Source organism: Homo sapiens, chromosome 10 (genome assembly GCF_000001405.40).
Source record: "Homo sapiens chromosome 10, GRCh38.p14 Primary Assembly".
NCBI lineage: Eukaryota > Metazoa > Chordata > Mammalia > Primates > Hominidae > Homo > Homo sapiens.
This window is the reverse complement of record NC_000010.11, coordinates 63,198,430-63,215,210: the sequence shown is the minus strand read 5'-3', so window position 1 is coordinate 63,215,210 and position 16,781 is coordinate 63,198,430. Positions and strand designations below refer to the sequence as shown.

The 16,781-nt window shown below is 36.0% G+C and overlaps 1 protein-coding gene across 15 annotated transcripts in view, besides 2 other annotated features; it reads left to right on the top strand.

Annotated features, from left to right (window-relative positions):
* JMJD1C (jumonji domain containing 1C) overlaps positions 1-16,781 on the top strand; it is a 354,666-nt gene that overhangs the window by 306,680 nt on the left and 31,205 nt on the right. For 13 of the 15 annotated variants that reach the window (XM_017015897.2, NM_001322258.2, NM_001318154.2 and 10 more), the window contains 5 exons: positions 60-1,738; positions 5,976-6,148; positions 6,410-8,616; positions 14,534-14,735; positions 16,484-16,698. In XM_017015897.2, the coding sequence (XP_016871386.1) occupies positions 60-1,738; positions 5,976-6,148; positions 6,410-8,616; positions 14,534-14,735; positions 16,484-16,698 (4,476 nt within the window). Of the gene's footprint in view, positions 1-59; positions 1,739-5,975; positions 6,149-6,409; positions 8,617-10,178; positions 12,377-14,533; positions 14,736-16,483; positions 16,699-16,781 lie in introns of those variants that run through there. The other 2 variants (NR_134512.2, XM_011539508.3) reach the window with 2 other exon arrangements.
* Positions 8,636-8,836: a silencer, noted in NCBI's record as "peak963 fragment used in MPRA reporter construct". NCBI's record gives its function as "represses an SCP1 promoter by STARR-seq MPRAs in K562 erythroleukemia cells {active_cell/tissue: K562}" and the evidence as "EXISTENCE:reporter gene assay evidence [ECO:0000049][PMID:32103011]".
* Positions 15,071-15,607: an enhancer, noted in NCBI's record as "NANOG hESC enhancer chr10:64959364-64959900 (GRCh37/hg19 assembly coordinates)". NCBI's record gives its function as "activates a minimal SCP1, AML or CMV promoter by ChIP-STARR-seq in naive H9 embryonic stem cells {active_cell/tissue: H9 hESC(naive)}" and the evidence as "EXISTENCE:reporter gene assay evidence [ECO:0000049][PMID:30033119]".

Below are 16,781 nucleotides of genomic sequence, written 5' to 3'. Positions count from 1 at the left end.
ATTTTAAAATATGCTTATTTAGTATGAAAAATAAGACTCTTCTTTCTTTAATCCTACAGAAAATCCTAAAGGTAAAAACAAACACTTGATGAATAAAAGAAGGAAACCTGAGGAGGATGAAAAGAAACTAAATATGAAAAGACTTCGAACTGACAATGTTTCAGACTTTTCTGAGAGCAGTGACTCAGAAAATTCAAATAAGAGAATAATAGATAATTCCTCAGAACAGAAGCCAGAGAATGAATTGAAAAATAAAAATACTTCAAAAATAAATGGAGAAGAAGGAAAACCCCATAATAATGAGAAGGCAGGAGAAGAGACCCTAAAAAATAGCCAGCCTCCCTGGGATCAAATACAGGAAGATAAAAAACATGAAGAAGCAGAGAAGCGGAAGTCTGTTGACACTCAGCTTCAAGAAGATATGATTATTCATTCGTCAGAACAGTCCACAGTTTCTGATCATAATTCTAATGATTTACTTCCTCAGGAATGCAATATGGATAAAACACATACCATGGAATTGCTACCAAAGGAGAAGTTTGTATCCAGACCACCCACACCAAAATGTGTTATTGATATTACAAATGACACTAATTTAGAAAAGGTGGCTCAGGAAAACTCAAGTACCTTTGGCCTTCAGACACTTCAGAAAATGGATCCTAATGTTAGTGATTCAAAACACTCTATTGCAAATGCAAAATTCTTGGAAACAGCAAAAAAAGATTCTGACCAGAGCTGGGTCAGTGATGTAGTTAAAGTGGATCTAACCCAATCAAGTGTTACAAATGCTTCTTCAGGAAATGATCACTTGAACATGGAAAAAGAGAAGTATGTCTCTTACATTTCTCCTTTAAGTGCAGTTTCTGTCATGGAAGATAAGCTGCATAAGCGAAGTCCACCTCCAGAGACTATAAAATCTAAACTTAATACTTCAGTAGATACTCACAAGATAAAATCCAGCCCATCACCTGAAGTTGTTAAACCCAAAATAACTCATTCTCCTGATTCTGTAAAGTCTAAGGCCACTTATGTGAACAGCCAAGCTACTGGTGAAAGAAGATTGGCAAATAAGATAGAACATGAGCTATCAAGATGCAGTTTTCATCCAATTCCTACTCGAAGCAGTACATTAGAAACTACAAAGAGTCCTCTTATCATTGATAAAAATGAGCATTTTACAGTTTACAGAGATCCTGCACTTATTGGGTCAGAAACAGGAGCTAATCATATTTCACCTTTCCTAAGCCAGCATCCTTTTCCTCTTCACTCCTCATCTCATAGAACCTGTTTAAATCCAGGTACCCATCATCCTGCCTTAACTCCTGCACCCCATTTACTAGCCGGATCATCTAGTCAAACTCCATTACCTACCATTAACACTCATCCTCTGACTAGTGGTCCACACCATGCTGTTCATCACCCTCATTTACTTCCCACTGTGTTACCTGGAGTGCCTACTGCCTCCTTACTTGGTGGCCACCCACGACTAGAGAGTGCTCATGCCAGCAGCTTGAGCCACTTAGCGCTAGCACACCAGCAACAACAACAGTTGTTACAGCACCAGTCACCTCATCTTCTTGGACAAGCCCATCCTTCTGCTTCATATAATCAGCTTGGACTTTATCCAATTATTTGGCAGTATCCAAATGGAACACATGCATACTCAGGACTTGGTTTGCCTTCTTCTAAGTGGGTTCACCCAGAAAATGCAGTTAATGCTGAAGCTTCATTAAGGAGGGTAAGTTACACTGTAGTTTGCCACATAGCAGTATATATTAATGAACATGTACAGGTGCTTTTTCAATATTCCATCTATTTTTTAGGTCATTTCCTATTATAAAATATGTTAGAATTTTTCGGTTGTTTTTCCATACACTTAGTAACCTCAAGAGTGGGAGCTGAAACGTCAGAAAAGCCTACTTATAAAAAGAATTAATTTAAAGAAGTAAAACTTTTTAGATTGTAATATTTATTTATTATAGATTTAAATTTTTGGTATATTTTCTTTTTCTTTTTTTTTTTTTTTGAGATGGAGTCTCATTCTGTTGCTTAGGCTAGATGCAGTGACATGATCTTGGGTCACTGCAACCTCTGCCTCCCAGGTTCAAGCAATTCTTCTGCCTCAGCCTCCTGAGTAGCTGGGATTACAGGTGCCTGCCACCATGCCTGGCAGATTTTTGTATTTTTAGTAGAGACGGAGTTTTACCATGTTGGTCAGGCTGGTCTTGAACTCCTGACCTTGTGATCCGTCTGTCTCGGCCTCCCAAAGTGCTGGGATTACAGGTGTGAGCCACCGCGCCCGGCTAATTTTTGGTATAAAAATTATTACACAAAATTATACATAATTATAATTATGCAATAATTATAATATATATAATACAAATTATACATAATTATTTTGCTCAGCCAAATTCCCAGAAGTGAAATTTCTAAAATTTTTATAAAATTGTAAGGCTTTTGATATATATTATCAAATTGTTCTTAAAAACAAATTGTTATATTCTCCAGATGTATGTTTGTATATTAATGGTATAGTACAGTGTTTGACTATTTAACCCCCTTGTTCCCTTAAGGGTGCTCAAGGTTACAGATTCCCAGTATTTGAGGGTAAAGCTGCAGCTGAGATTTTGTCTGCCTAACACAGTATTGCTAAAGGTAGCGGTATAAGGCTCTTGTTCATTCATGAGCCATGTAGTTTCTATAGCAAATTCATTTTTACACTAAAAAATGGTTATTGAGAGCAATACTAGCCCCGGTATAAAAAATGGAAAAATTGATATCACTTTTAAACTCCGAGGAGACAACCTTGTCCTTCGTACATCCTAGGATGCTCATCAAGTATCCCCTAGAATCTCTTTTTAACACCTTGTTTTTGTGGTTAAAAAACACATACATACATAATATTAAATGTGCCATCTTAAATATTTTTAAGTGTACAGTTCAGTAGTGTTAAGTGTGTTCACATTGTTGTGCAGCAGGTCTCTAGAACTTTTTCATCTTGTAAAACTGAAACTATAGCCATTAAACACTAACTCCCCTTCCCTGCCAGCCCTTGGCAACCACCTTTCTTCTGTTTCTATGGTTTTCATGACTTTAGATACTTTCTATGAGTAGAATGATAGAATATTTATCCTTTTGTTACTGGCTTATTTAGCTTACTACAATATTCTTGAGGTTCATCCATGTTGCAACATGTGACATGATCTTCTTCTTATTTAAGGCTGTATAATATTCCACTGTATGTATGTGCCCTATTTTCTTTCTCCATTCATCTGTCAGTGGACATTTGGGTTGCTTTCACCTCTTGGCTGTGGTGAATAATGCTACAGTGAACATGGGTGGTTTTTTTGTTTTTTTGTGGGGTTTTTTTTTTTTTTTTTTTTTTTTGAGACAGAGTCTTGCTCTGTCACCCAAGCTAGAGTACAGTGGCGTGATCTCGGCTCACTGCAACCTCTGCCTCACATGGGTGTTTTTAACATCTTAATGTCATCTTTTTTGACAGCTTTCTGAAGTTAAGTGAGATCACAGTTGGGGGTGGTGATTTAGAAGACAATTTTAGTGACTTTCTGTTTTACTCAGGGATAATATTTTTTACATATAACATTAGTGATGCCAGTAGATAAAAGCATGCTGTTCATCATGCCAAAAGTTTGTGAGAGGAGTCATTATGTTTTGGGTAGACTGTGGCCATGAGTCTTTTTATCATTCCCAAGTTGTGATAGATAAACTTTTTTTTTTTTTTTTTTGAGATGGAGTCTCCCTCTGTTGCCAGGCTACAGTACAGTGATACAGTCTTGGCTCACTGCAACCTCTGCCTCCCGGGTTCAAGTGATTGTCCTGCCTCAGCCTCCCAAGTAGCTAGGACTACAGGTGTGCAACACCACACCTGGCTAATTTTTTGTATTTTTAGTAGAAACGAGGTTTCACTATGCTGGCCAGGCTGGTCTCGAACTCCTGACCTCAAGTGATCCGCCTGTCTCGGCCTCTCAAAGTGCTGGGATTACAGGCATGAGCCACCATGCCCAACCATGTGATGGGTGAACTTTGATGATAAGAGGCACCAAGTGGTTGATGATGCATCTTGCATAAGGTCTACCAGTTTTGAAAGATGTTTCCTGTGGTTTATTCCTGTTGCAAACATGGACTCCTTTTGGCTCTACTTTCATATGACCTTTGGCCTTTAATGAAGTCTCACCAGTGATGCCCACAGTTGATTCTGCACCAGCATCACCACATTTGAGGTTGACAAGATCTCAGTTCCAGAATTATGCTGCCATTGATCACAAGCTTTCCATTACCATTTTGGAGGGTGCCGTTGCTTTTGTCGTAGATGGGAGTCATACTGGAACCTGTGTGTTACATAGTCAAACTCAGTGAAGAATCACTAATCACTATATTATCCTCTTTACCAGAATAGAAAGCAGGCCTGGTGACCCAAGTGCCCTACTGTACTCAGATTATTAATTCAAGGTTTCTATTTTTATTGTTGCACTCACATGTTTATTCTGACCCTTCACTCTCACGTCATTAATGTAGCTGCAGCTGCACAAAGATAAGCTAGCTAGAGGAACACAGGAGAGCCAAGAGCTGGCTAACAGATTTGTGTCTTTTTCCTTAACATCCAAACTCTTGAAAACAGATTTAAGTAACTTAAAAATGGCTTGGAAGGGAGCAATACTCAGTATGTGTCACATGTATATGGACTTAGACCATGACTGTCTAGCCTCTGTGTTTATAAGTACATAAAATATTTTATTAACTGGTCATAAATGTGTTAAACTAAAAACAAGTGTATCAGATTTTTATTTGTTATATAAAATTACAACATAAAGGAGTAAATTTGAATAACATTTTGAGGAAAAATAAAAATATCTTACCCCCTACTATTGACCAAAAGTGAAGAAACAATACAAGCATAAGACACTATTATTGAGAAATAATTTTGAATGGCATTTTATAGAGCAAAACTTTGTTGTCATTGCCATAATTGATTGCTGTTTAAGATTTCTGGATCTTATAGAACTGAGGCCGTTTGAGACACATATTTGATCCTTATGTGTATATTTATGTATTTTTCTCTTATGTGGGGTTTATGGCTATAGTGTATGTTTTTAATTTCATAGCAGTATATTTTTGGTGTGACATACTGCTTTTGCATTATTTTGAGAAGTAAAACGTATTCCCTTTGTTAGAGAAAATACAAAGGAGGTTGTATTTTCCTGCTATTTGACTATCATCCTATTAACAAATTCATAAAACATGTTCTGGAAGGATGTCAGTGAGTCAGAATATAGAAAAATCCTTAAGCATGTAGTCAGATAGCTGTATGTCTCGATGAAGAGGTTGCTGTCACCTTATATTCAGTCATGAGACAGGCAGCATATTGATGTATAAAATTAACTTTATTAGACTTCTACACCTCCAAGCTTAATGGTGCAACCTTGTTTATAGCTTAGAGTGAAATGGGGAGTGCATTTGGGTTTTGAAATGTAATTATCTGCCAATTGTCAGTAAATTGTTACATTGGAAAAGTTAAATTTTTTGATGACAAAAATTGACAAATGAATTTGGTTATAATTTCTATTTCTGATGAAATGTGTTTTAGGAATAATATTCTGTTTTTACTGTTAGCAATATACTTTTGCTGTTAGAATCAGGAAATCATATAAACTAGGTTCTGTATATGGCATTTATAGTAAATTTAAGGCACTGATTTCAAGATCTGTTTTTAGTAAGATGACAATAAATTATTTAATACTGATTATGATATGGAAAAATCTGTTTAATTATGTTATTATTTGTCTGAATATTTCTCATAAGATGTATTTAGAAAAAGTTACAAGTTTCCCAAAGAAACTGCTATTTGAATGAACTAATAAACCACCAAGATCATACCCAGTTCTACTGTGACACGGTGTTTAGCTTTTTCTAGTAACTGAAATCTAGGTGTTTTTTTTGTTTTGTTTTGTTAATAGAATTCTCCCAGTCCTTGGCTACATCAGCCCACCCCTGTGACCTCAGCAGATGGTATTGGATTACTTAGTCACATTCCTGTCAGACCTTCCAGTGCAGAGCCTCATCGGCCTCTTAAAATTACAGCCCATTCCAGTCCACCATTGACAAAAACTTTAGTAGATCATCATAAGGAGTAAGTTCACCAGTGCTTAAAAATTATAAATACCTTGTTCATAATTTTTCTTAATTTGCCTTTTAAATAGTTAATTTTAAGTTAACACATATCTTAAGATTAGGCTTTGTTCTGTTTTGATATTTCTTCAAATTTATTATAGTATTAGAGTACATGCAAAGATGTCTTTTACTTTCATAATAGAATGATATTGCATAGAAGCTGTCTTTGTATTTTGCAGGAAAAAGTGGTTACAGAAATATTTGTGTATTTTCTTTACAGAGAATTAGAAAGAAAAGCTTTTATGGAACCATTACGGTCTGTTGCATCCACATCAGCCAAAAATGACCTGGATCTAAATAGGTCACAGACTGGAAAAGATTGTCACTTACATAGGCATTTTGTGGATCCAGTATTAAATCAGTTACAGAGGCCACCCCAGGAGACTGGAGAGAGGTTAAACAAATACAAAGAGGAACACCGTCGAATTCTTCAAGAAAGTATTGATGTTGCTCCCTTTACAACTAAAATCAAGGGACTTGAGGGTGAGAGAGAGAATTATTCCAGAGTGGCATCATCATCTTCCAGTCCTAAAAGCCATATCATCAAACAAGATATGGATGTAGAACGCTCAGTATCAGATCTTTATAAAATGAAGCACTCAGTGCCTCAGAGTTTACCCCAAAGTAACTATTTCACTACATTGTCTAATAGTGTGGTCAATGAACCACCAAGATCATACCCATCCAAAGAAGTTTCAAATATTTACGGTGATAAACAGAGTAATGCCCTTGCAGCGGCAGCAGCTAATCCTCAAACTCTGACTTCATTTATAACATCTCTTTCAAAGCCTCCACCTTTGATTAAACACCAACCAGAAAGTGAAGGTTTAGTAGGCAAGATACCAGAACATCTTCCACATCAGATTGCATCTCACTCAGTAACAACCTTCAGAAATGATTGTAGGAGTCCTACCCATTTGACAGTTTCTTCTACAAATACACTCCGCAGTATGCCTGCATTACATAGAGCACCAGTATTTCACCCACCAATCCATCACAGCCTGGAAAGAAAGGAAGGCAGCTATAGTAGTCTTTCCCCTCCAACTTTAACTCCGGTGATGCCAGTAAATGCTGGTGGTAAAGTTCAAGAATCACAGAAGCCTCCAACTCTAATACCCGAACCAAAAGACTCCCAGGCAAATTTTAAGAGTTCTTCAGAACAGAGTTTGACGGAGATGTGGAGACCTAATAATAACCTCAGCAAAGAGAAAACTGAATGGCATGTGGAGAAAAGCAGCGGAAAGTTACAGGCTGCTATGGCATCTGTCATTGTGCGTCCATCTTCTAGTACAAAAACTGATAGTATGCCAGCAATGCAGTTAGCTTCTAAAGATCGTGTTAGTGAAAGATCTTCAGCTGGGGCACATAAAACAGATTGCCTCAAACTAGCAGAAGCCGGAGAAACTGGAAGAATCATTTTGCCAAATGTGAATTCAGACAGTGTTCACACAAAATCTGAAAAAAACTTTCAGGCTGTCTCACAGGGCAGTGTTCCCAGTTCAGTCATGTCTGCTGTAAATACGATGTGTAATACCAAAACGGATGTAATCACATCTGCTGCCGATACTACCAGTGTTTCCAGCTGGGGTGGTTCAGAAGTAATTTCCTCTTTATCAAATACCATTTTGGCCTCTACATCATCAGAATGTGTATCTTCAAAAAGTGTCAGTCAGCCAGTGGCTCAAAAACAAGAATGCAAGGTCAGCACCACAGCACCAGTTACATTAGCCAGTAGTAAGACAGGAAGTGTTGTTCAACCCAGTTCTGGGTTCTCAGGCACAACTGATTTTATCCATTTAAAAAAGCACAAGGCAGCATTGGCTGCAGCTCAGTATAAAAGTAGTAATGCCAGTGAGACTGAACCTAATGCTATAAAAAATCAGACACTTTCAGCCTCCCTTCCTCTGGATAGCACTGTAATCTGTAGTACAATTAACAAAGCAAACTCTGTAGGAAATGGGCAAGCTTCCCAGACAAGTCAACCAAACTACCATACTAAACTGAAAAAGGCCTGGCTCACCAGACACTCAGAAGAAGATAAAAATACTAATAAAATGGAAAATTCAGGGAATTCTGTATCAGAAATTATTAAGCCATGTTCTGTCAACTTAATAGCCTCTACATCTAGTGATATACAAAATAGTGTAGATAGTAAGATCATAGTTGATAAATATGTAAAAGATGATAAAGTCAACAGGAGAAAAGCCAAAAGAACTTATGAATCTGGCTCTGAAAGTGGAGACTCAGATGAAAGTGAAAGCAAGTCAGAGCAAAGGACTAAAAGACAACCTAAGCCAACTTACAAAAAGAAGCAAAATGATTTGCAAAAGAGAAAAGGTGAAATAGAAGAAGATTTGAAACCCAATGGAGTTCTCAGCAGGAGTGCCAAAGAAAGAAGTAAACTGAAGTTGCAAAGCAACAGTAATAGTAAGTCAGTTACTTTGTTTTATCTCAGGTAAAATGGGCTGAATGTTTTAGCTATACTAGTGTGCTGCTTTAAAGATCAGTGAGCTTAAAGGCATCCTTTGTCTTCATTTGCGTGCCTTAGCTTTATGTATATGCTCATTGATCTCATTTCTACATTTCACAAGTAAGTACCCTTTAAGAGGAAATGAGAGAACACTTATTCCTCTATTTTTAAAAGACTTGTAGAAATATATATCTTACCTGACAGTCATTGTAGGTAATTTGCGTAATTTAACGTGGAATTTAGTAGTTACTCGTAATTTTGGCCATTTCTAAGAATTGTCAAAATGCAGTTATGGCTGTCACACCAAAAGTGGATTTGTAATATCAGCTAAGATATTTACCTCTAACAAGATGTAGTCAGGAAAGAAATTCTGCTCACATACACATATTTTGAGGCAAATTTCTAGAAGATAGTTACAGTTGTCCCTGGGTATACCTGTGGGGGATTGGTTCCAGGACGCCCCCACGGATACCAAAATTCACAGATGTGCACATCCCTTATATAAAATAGCATAGTACAGTCATGTGCTGCATAACAACTTTTCAGTCAGTGACAGAATGCACAGCTGGGCACAGTGGCTCACTCCTGTAATCCCAGCACTTTGGGAAGCTGAGGCAGGAGGATCACTTGAGCTGGCGTGGTTGAAGCTGCAGTGAGCCATGATTGCACCACCGCACTCCAGCCTGGGCAACAGAGCAAGACCATGTCTCAAAAAATAAACAAAAAATGATGGAATGTATATATGACAGTGGTCTCATATAAGATCGTAAGACTGTGTTTTTACTATACCTCTTTCTTTGTTCAGATACGTAAATACTTTGTGTTACAATTATCTACAGTATAAAGTACAGTAAATACTGTACGGGTTTGTAAGCTAGGTTTGTGTAAGTACATGCTATGAAGTTCCTACAGTGAGGAAATTGCCTAATAGTGTATGACTATATTTGCATGTAACCTACACACATCCTCCCATATACTTTAAATCATTTCTAGATTCCTTATAATGCCCAACACAACGCTTACACATCACTTCATTTATGCAGGATTGAACATAGTACTCTGCACATGGCAAATTAAAGTTTTGTTTTTTTGGAACTTTGTAGAATATTTTTTCCCCCAAGTATTTTTGATCCATGGTAGGTTGAACCCATGGGTTTGGAACCCACGGTTATGGAGGGCCAATTTTACTTCAGAGTAATATGAATGTGGACTGTATTTCACTCTTATATCATCTGGTGACAAAATTGGAAGCTTATGGAAATTACTATCTATTTAATGCTGCTCATTCAAACAGTCCTTAACAATAGGTAAAAATTAACATAAGGGGAGGCTTGTGGTTTTGTGTATTCATTTCGATGTTAAAGAATTGCCATATTAATAGCTTCACAACTGATTATATATCCTTTGTGGCAACAGCTGGACAAAATAAGAGATACTTAACAGTAATATTCACTATAAAGTGTTTCTATATCATTTTACTCTAGTAGTAGTTTTTCTCAGTTTGCTTATTTCTTTTTAGGTATGTTGCACAATGCAGAAAGCACTTAGTTTCACTATGTCCGTGTGTTCATCCACATACAATATATGAAATATCTGTGACAATGTGGACACTCAAAGTACTTTCACAAGCACTTGGATGCTTGAAGGCTCCCATTTGTGCCTTTTAACTGAATGAGGTTTTCCCACATGCCTGTGTGGAAACCAGAGGCAAAGTGAAGGAGAGGAAAACAGGAGGATGGAATCATAGAAAAGGACAGTCAGAAAGTGAAAGAACAAAGGACAAACTCAACTAGAGCCAGAGACTGACAGACTGAAATGCAAGCATAGTCAGAAGACAGAGAGGGGGATTAACATCGAAGGATACCTGCCATTTACTTGAATATTGGATTATATACAGTGTTGCTTTTTCTTATGTGTTCCCCTTACTCTCCCTCACTACCCCCATGAATTCATAATAGGCTTAGTGTGAGCAATTTAATTGTTTCTCTTCTGTCTTATATGACATTTCCTTTGGTGTTGGGTGTTCAGATACTTGAGTAAAACTTAAAAAACAAAAACAAAAGATAGGTACCTTCCAGGTTTTAATGCCTAGAAAACTCTTGTGAAGTTAAATTTATGAAATTAAGTGTTAGTGAAATACGTATTCTCTTTTCATCTTGAGACGAATATACATATTCACATGTAAGAGTTCTAAGAAAAGGGCCAGAATGAGTGCCTTTTTTTCCCCCAGGTTGTAATGTTTAGTCAAATCTCCCCTGCTTGGTAACTAGCATGTAGCTTTAGAGAGGCTGTTTTATGACCCATTTGTTCACCAAGTCCAAAGTAATATTAAGTCAATATTAGATGTCATCTATTAATTGTGGACAGAGTTGACTTGCTTTTGTTCTAGGCTACCTAGAAAAGTTTTTTTTTTCTTAAATATTTTTTAGAGACAGTCTCCCTACATTGCCCAGACTGGAGTGCAGTGGATATTCACAGGTGTAACCATAGTGCACAGCAGCCTCCAACTCCTGGGCTCAGGCAATCCTCCTGCCTCAGTCTCCTGAGCACAGAAAAGTTCTTTAAGTTGGGAGTTTTCATAAGTCAGGGAACTTCTAAATATTAATGGATTATCTACTTCATGGATTAAATAATGTCTATTTTCTTTCTATTGTTTAGTAGAATTGTCATCAGTCATGGTCAATCAAAAAGAATGAGTTAGGCTTACACCTAAACTATGTAATATGATTACATACACCGTTATACATGTATAATTATATATTTTATATACACATACACATAATAGTGTGTTTCTTAGTACATTAAAGCTAGATATAATAGATTTTGTCTTATCTACTCTTTTGGAATGTCTTCCTCTCTGCTACCTTTTTGTTTCTCTTAATTAAAAGTCAGCCGCTTTTTCTCCACTAATTTTTATGTTTTATTTACTTCTATCTTACATTTTATCTAATTTTTACATTTAATTTTATGATCTGAAATTGCCACTATATTCAAATATATAAATTCTACAATACAAAACCAGTGGTTTATGATCACAGTTAATTTCTCTATCTCCAAAAAAATATTTTTTAAGGGGGTGGCATATCAGAGATTAATGTTTGGCAAGTATTTGTCTCTTACTTTCTTCCTCCCCAGTTTTCTGTTAGAGCAGCTATTTGTGGATTTGCTACTAGAGAACTAAGGTTCTTACTATAAATGAAGAAGTATCCATTGAGTTAGGTATTTTTTTGTTGACTAAGTGTCTTAATCTCAAACTTCTAGGTTTTATATATTGCCAGTAAATTATATATATATGGAATTGAAGGATGAAGTTTTATTTATTGTACAAATACTATGACAGTTAAATTCATAAAAGGAGTTAGTTGCAGTCATGTGTGGCCTTGTCTAGAAGCAAAAATTATAATATCAAAAGCTCTACGTATGAATTGGGCCTTAATGTCTTTGTACTCATTTATTCTTTTATTGAAAAAAAGCTCTAAATGCCTATTTTGTGTCACATAATTGAGATTTGCTTTGAAATGTCTGATTCTTTACTATAGTACTATCTGAGTTGTTCACAGTGGTATGGTGATCCATACTCTGAACTGTTCCATTATCTGGAATTAAAGGCATATAATAAAAAGAAATAGACTGTATTTAGTTTATTCTAGTGTAATAAATTGAAAAGTAAATAGATGATTAGAAGCAAGTGTTCCAAATAAAAATTTATCAGCAGTATAACAATTCTATCATTCATTCCAACTTGTAAAAGCTCTGAATATTTTACACAGTTCATAGGAAAAATCTCTTTTGCACAATGGAGGAAATAAACATTTTACATAAGTCTTCTGGAAATGGGTTTATACCATAACCGGGAGATGTGGTGTGTGGTTATACACATGGGTGTTTCTCTAGTGGATTAAGCCAAATGGCTCCTTACCCTAAGTTAGAGACAGAGAGGGGAAAGCATGTAATTGTAAAGAACGAGGCAGCAATTCAGAAGTGCTTAATAATTGGACCTGATTTCAAATGGGTCACTCTATATGGTTTATTTAAACACAGTGCTTTGTAAGTTTCTGCAAGAAGTACGTAGTCTCAGGAGAATAGCTGTACCTCTGATCCACACATTGGGCATGATTAGAAAACACAAGGGTAGGAAATACAGTTTTATTCTTTCAGCATGACAGAAATAGCAAACTATGTAAATCTAATATCTGACATATAGATACATTAATATGGGTGCAATAAGACACTTACAAGTTAGAGCCAACAACTAATTGCTGATCCTAACATAGCTTGCTTTTATTTATATATATTTTTAGACAGAGTCTTACTCCGTCACCCAGGCTGGAATCCAGTGGCACGATCTCACCCCACTGCAACTTCCGCCCCCTGGGATCAAGCAGTTCTTGTGCCTCAGCCTCCCGAGTAGCTGGAATTACAGGTGCGTGCTACCGCGCCTGGCTAATTTTTGTATTTTTGGTAGAGACAGGGTTTCACCTATTGGCCAGACTGGTCTTGAACTCCTGGCCTCAAGTGATCCACCCACCTCAGCCTCCTAAAGTTCTGGGATAGGCATGAGCCACTGCACCTGGACCCCAACATAGCTTGCTTTTTTTTTTCTTTCCTCTTTTGTTTTTTTTTTGGACGGAGTCTTGCTCTGTCACCAGGCTGGAGTGCAGTGGCGCAATGTTGGCTCACTGCAACATCTGCTTCCCAGGTTCAAGTGATTCTCCTGCCTCAGCCTCCCGAGTAGCTGGGACTACAGGTATGCGCCACCATGCCAGGCTAATTTTTTGTATTTTAGTAGAGACGGGATTTCACCATGTTGGTCAGGCTGGTCTCGAACTCCCGACCTCAGGTGATCCGCCCGCCTCAGCCTCCCAAAGTACTGGGATTACAGGCATGAGCCACCGTGCCCGGCCAGCTTACTTTTAAATAAATATGTTTTTAAAAATTTTAATAGACAACATTTAATTTTTGGAGTTCCTCTCGGTCCAGAAATTCTTCTTACTCTCTAGATGACGGATTTCTTGAGCCAATGTTCTTGTACTTATTAAACATAAGTCAGTAAATGTGATGGAGCAATGATGTAGAGTATGTAAATAAGTTGATTTTTTTTTCACATATTAGACTGTATAATGCATTAGAGTTTTGTCCTTTTTACTTTTTTGATGGCTATTTTAATTCATCAATAAAGATAGCCAAGTTAATTTTTTTTTCCTTTTACTTTCTTCAAACCCTTTTATTTTTCTAAAAGATACTGCCACCATCAGTATGTTGATATCAAATGCAGGGTATTATAATAAAGGAAAGATGTTAGGAGAAATAGCTAAGCACCTCTTCTCCCAAATACAGGTTTTATAAAATTACCACTTGTCTTAATGAGCCACACTTACCTTGGAAAATCAGATTATGTATTTCAATAGAAATACGTTGAAACTAACCTGTAGTTTCTAACTATATAAACCTTTAATCTTTACGTTCTTGCTGTGGATCTTGAAAGAGCTTTCTCCTATGTAAACCAACTTTTGGTATAGAAGGACTGTATTTTCAGTTATTGATATACACAGAATATGAATGATTCTTATGTTTGCTATTATACATACATGAATGATATTTAAAGAGTTCAGTCAGCTGGAAAATTTAGTTCTGCATTTTCAGTACACTGACATAAGAGTGGTTCATTTGGTTAATAGAATTGGTTAGTAAGTAAATAGAAACGCTGCTGCACTTTTTAGTCATTAATCAGTACCTAGAGCTCTTAATGTCTTTGCTTCTTTACTAAAGTCTTACCGTATCATCACAATTGTATAACTGACTTGAATTTCATCTCAAGGAGTTTAACTTTTTACAAAGCATAATCTTGCTAAAACTTTCCTACTGATTTTACAGCTGGCATTCCTCGTTCAGTATTGAAAGATTGGCGTAAAGTCAAGAAGCTGAAGCAAACTGGGGAATCCTTTTTACAGGATGACTCCTGCTGTGAGATAGGGCCTAATTTACAAAAGTGTCGAGAATGTAGACTTATTCGCAGTAAAAAAGGAGAAGAACCAGCTCACTCACCAGTATTTTGTAGATTTTACTACTTTAGACGGTAAGTGAAAATATGAGATTGGGAAAAAAGTAATTTATTGATTTGATATTGGAAATTATATAGTGTTATTCTGAGTGTCCCTTTTGGATGGGGGAGTAAGTCTTTGAGTCTCCATGTTTTGGAAACATTATAAAAGAGTTATTAAATGTTTTCGTGCTAAATTTTAACAATTTCTAACTATAAGACTAAATACATACATTATTACTCATGTTCCATATGACCTTTCTGTTCTGAGAGATTTATTCTTAATGAGAAAATGATTTTTTTCTTAACAGTTGTTAACCTATATACTAACTTAATATGAATATTACCAAATAATATTTTAAAATTAAAAACTTAAAGGTAGACTTGCAAGAGTTCAACTAAAGAATAGCTGGATAACCCAGACAGTAAAGACTAATTAACATGTCACACTCCAGAATCAGTCATTTCTAGTTGTGAATTCCATCTCTGTCTCTTAGTTCCTGTGTGAGTTTATTAACTGTGGTAGGACAACTAAGCCTGTCTCAGCTGCAAAATGTAAATGTTAGTACCTACCTAAGAGAGGTTTAATGAAGGTTAAATGAGATAAGTATGCCAAGTCCTTAAGTGTAGTCCCATGCGCATATGAAATGCTCTATTGTTAGCTGTAATTATCTTCCTAAGAAATTGAGACACTTTACTCTGCTGAATACTCTATGCTGGTAGCCCAGTATAGACCTCCAAAAATACGTGTTGATAAGAATGAACCAGGTTCTCTTTCTTCCTCACTTTGTAGCCAACAATCCCTAAAAGACAAGACAATTTCAGGGAATAATTATAAGAGGTAGTACCCATGGAAGTGCAGAAGAGATGAAAAAAGGAATCAAAAGGAAAGTAGGTTTGAGGCATAAGAAAATCTAGGAAAAGTCTGAAGGAAAGAAATGTTCAGGCAAAGATTATAACATAAAACCAAAATAAGATGCTGGGTTATGACAAAAAGGAGAAATTTGGTTTAAAAAGAAGGAAGCTTTGGAAAGAATAATAAAGGTATGAAAAGTAGGGATAAAAGAAATGTTGCTGTTCATATGAAAAATACAGTATGACTTGTATCTTAGACATCAGCTATTTGAGAGTAAAGAGAGTGAAGTACAATATAATTGAGGAATAACCACCAGCCAGTAAGAGAATGGCAATTTTGCCTTCCGTTTACCATAAACTTCTCTGAATAGAGTAGTTATTTGGATATCAGAAGCTAAGAGCAAGTAAGCACATTAATGGGGTTCCTATAAAACTATTAAGAATTTTCATCCTTGTTCTCTTAAATCACTTCAGCAATGTGTCAGTCTAATTAATGAAAATATATGTATAGTTGGCATTTTTAAAGTCCTCCTGGTGAAAGTCTTAAGGCCATTTCAGCTTTGGTGATTCCGATTTAGATTATGTATAAAATAACAGCATTGCTCTGGGCAACATTGGGCCCACATTTTTACTCTTGTCATTCATCAAACACTTAAACAGTTTTCATTTTATTGGAGTTAAGTAAGTATAAGTGATCTTATTTCTTGAAATAACCTAAAATTACTACTACTTATTGCCATTTGCATAACACCTGAGTTATTTAAATTAATTCAATAATTAGTGTGTGAAGAATTAACCTGTTTTCCTGTTTTTAATGTAATTCATATTTTATAATGCAATGTAAACATAATTATAAATTTACAATTTTAAAGACTGGACTTATGTTTTAATATGTGGGTACCTAATACTTTTATGTTTTAATATTTCAGGTTGTCATTTAGTAAAAACGGAGTAGTTAGAATAGATGGTTTCTCTTCTCCTGACCAATATGATGATGAAGCTATGAGTTTGTGGACACATGAAAATTTTGAAGATGATGAACTAGATATAGAGACTTCTAAATATATCTTGGATATAATAGGTGATAAGTTCTGTCAATTAGTAACATCTGAAAAAACAGCTTTGTCCTGGGTGAAAAAGGATGGTAAGGAAGTTAAATATAACATGAACTGCACAAATTTCATTTTAAGAATTTCTCTTTGAATTATGTTTGTGAAAGAAGTCCCT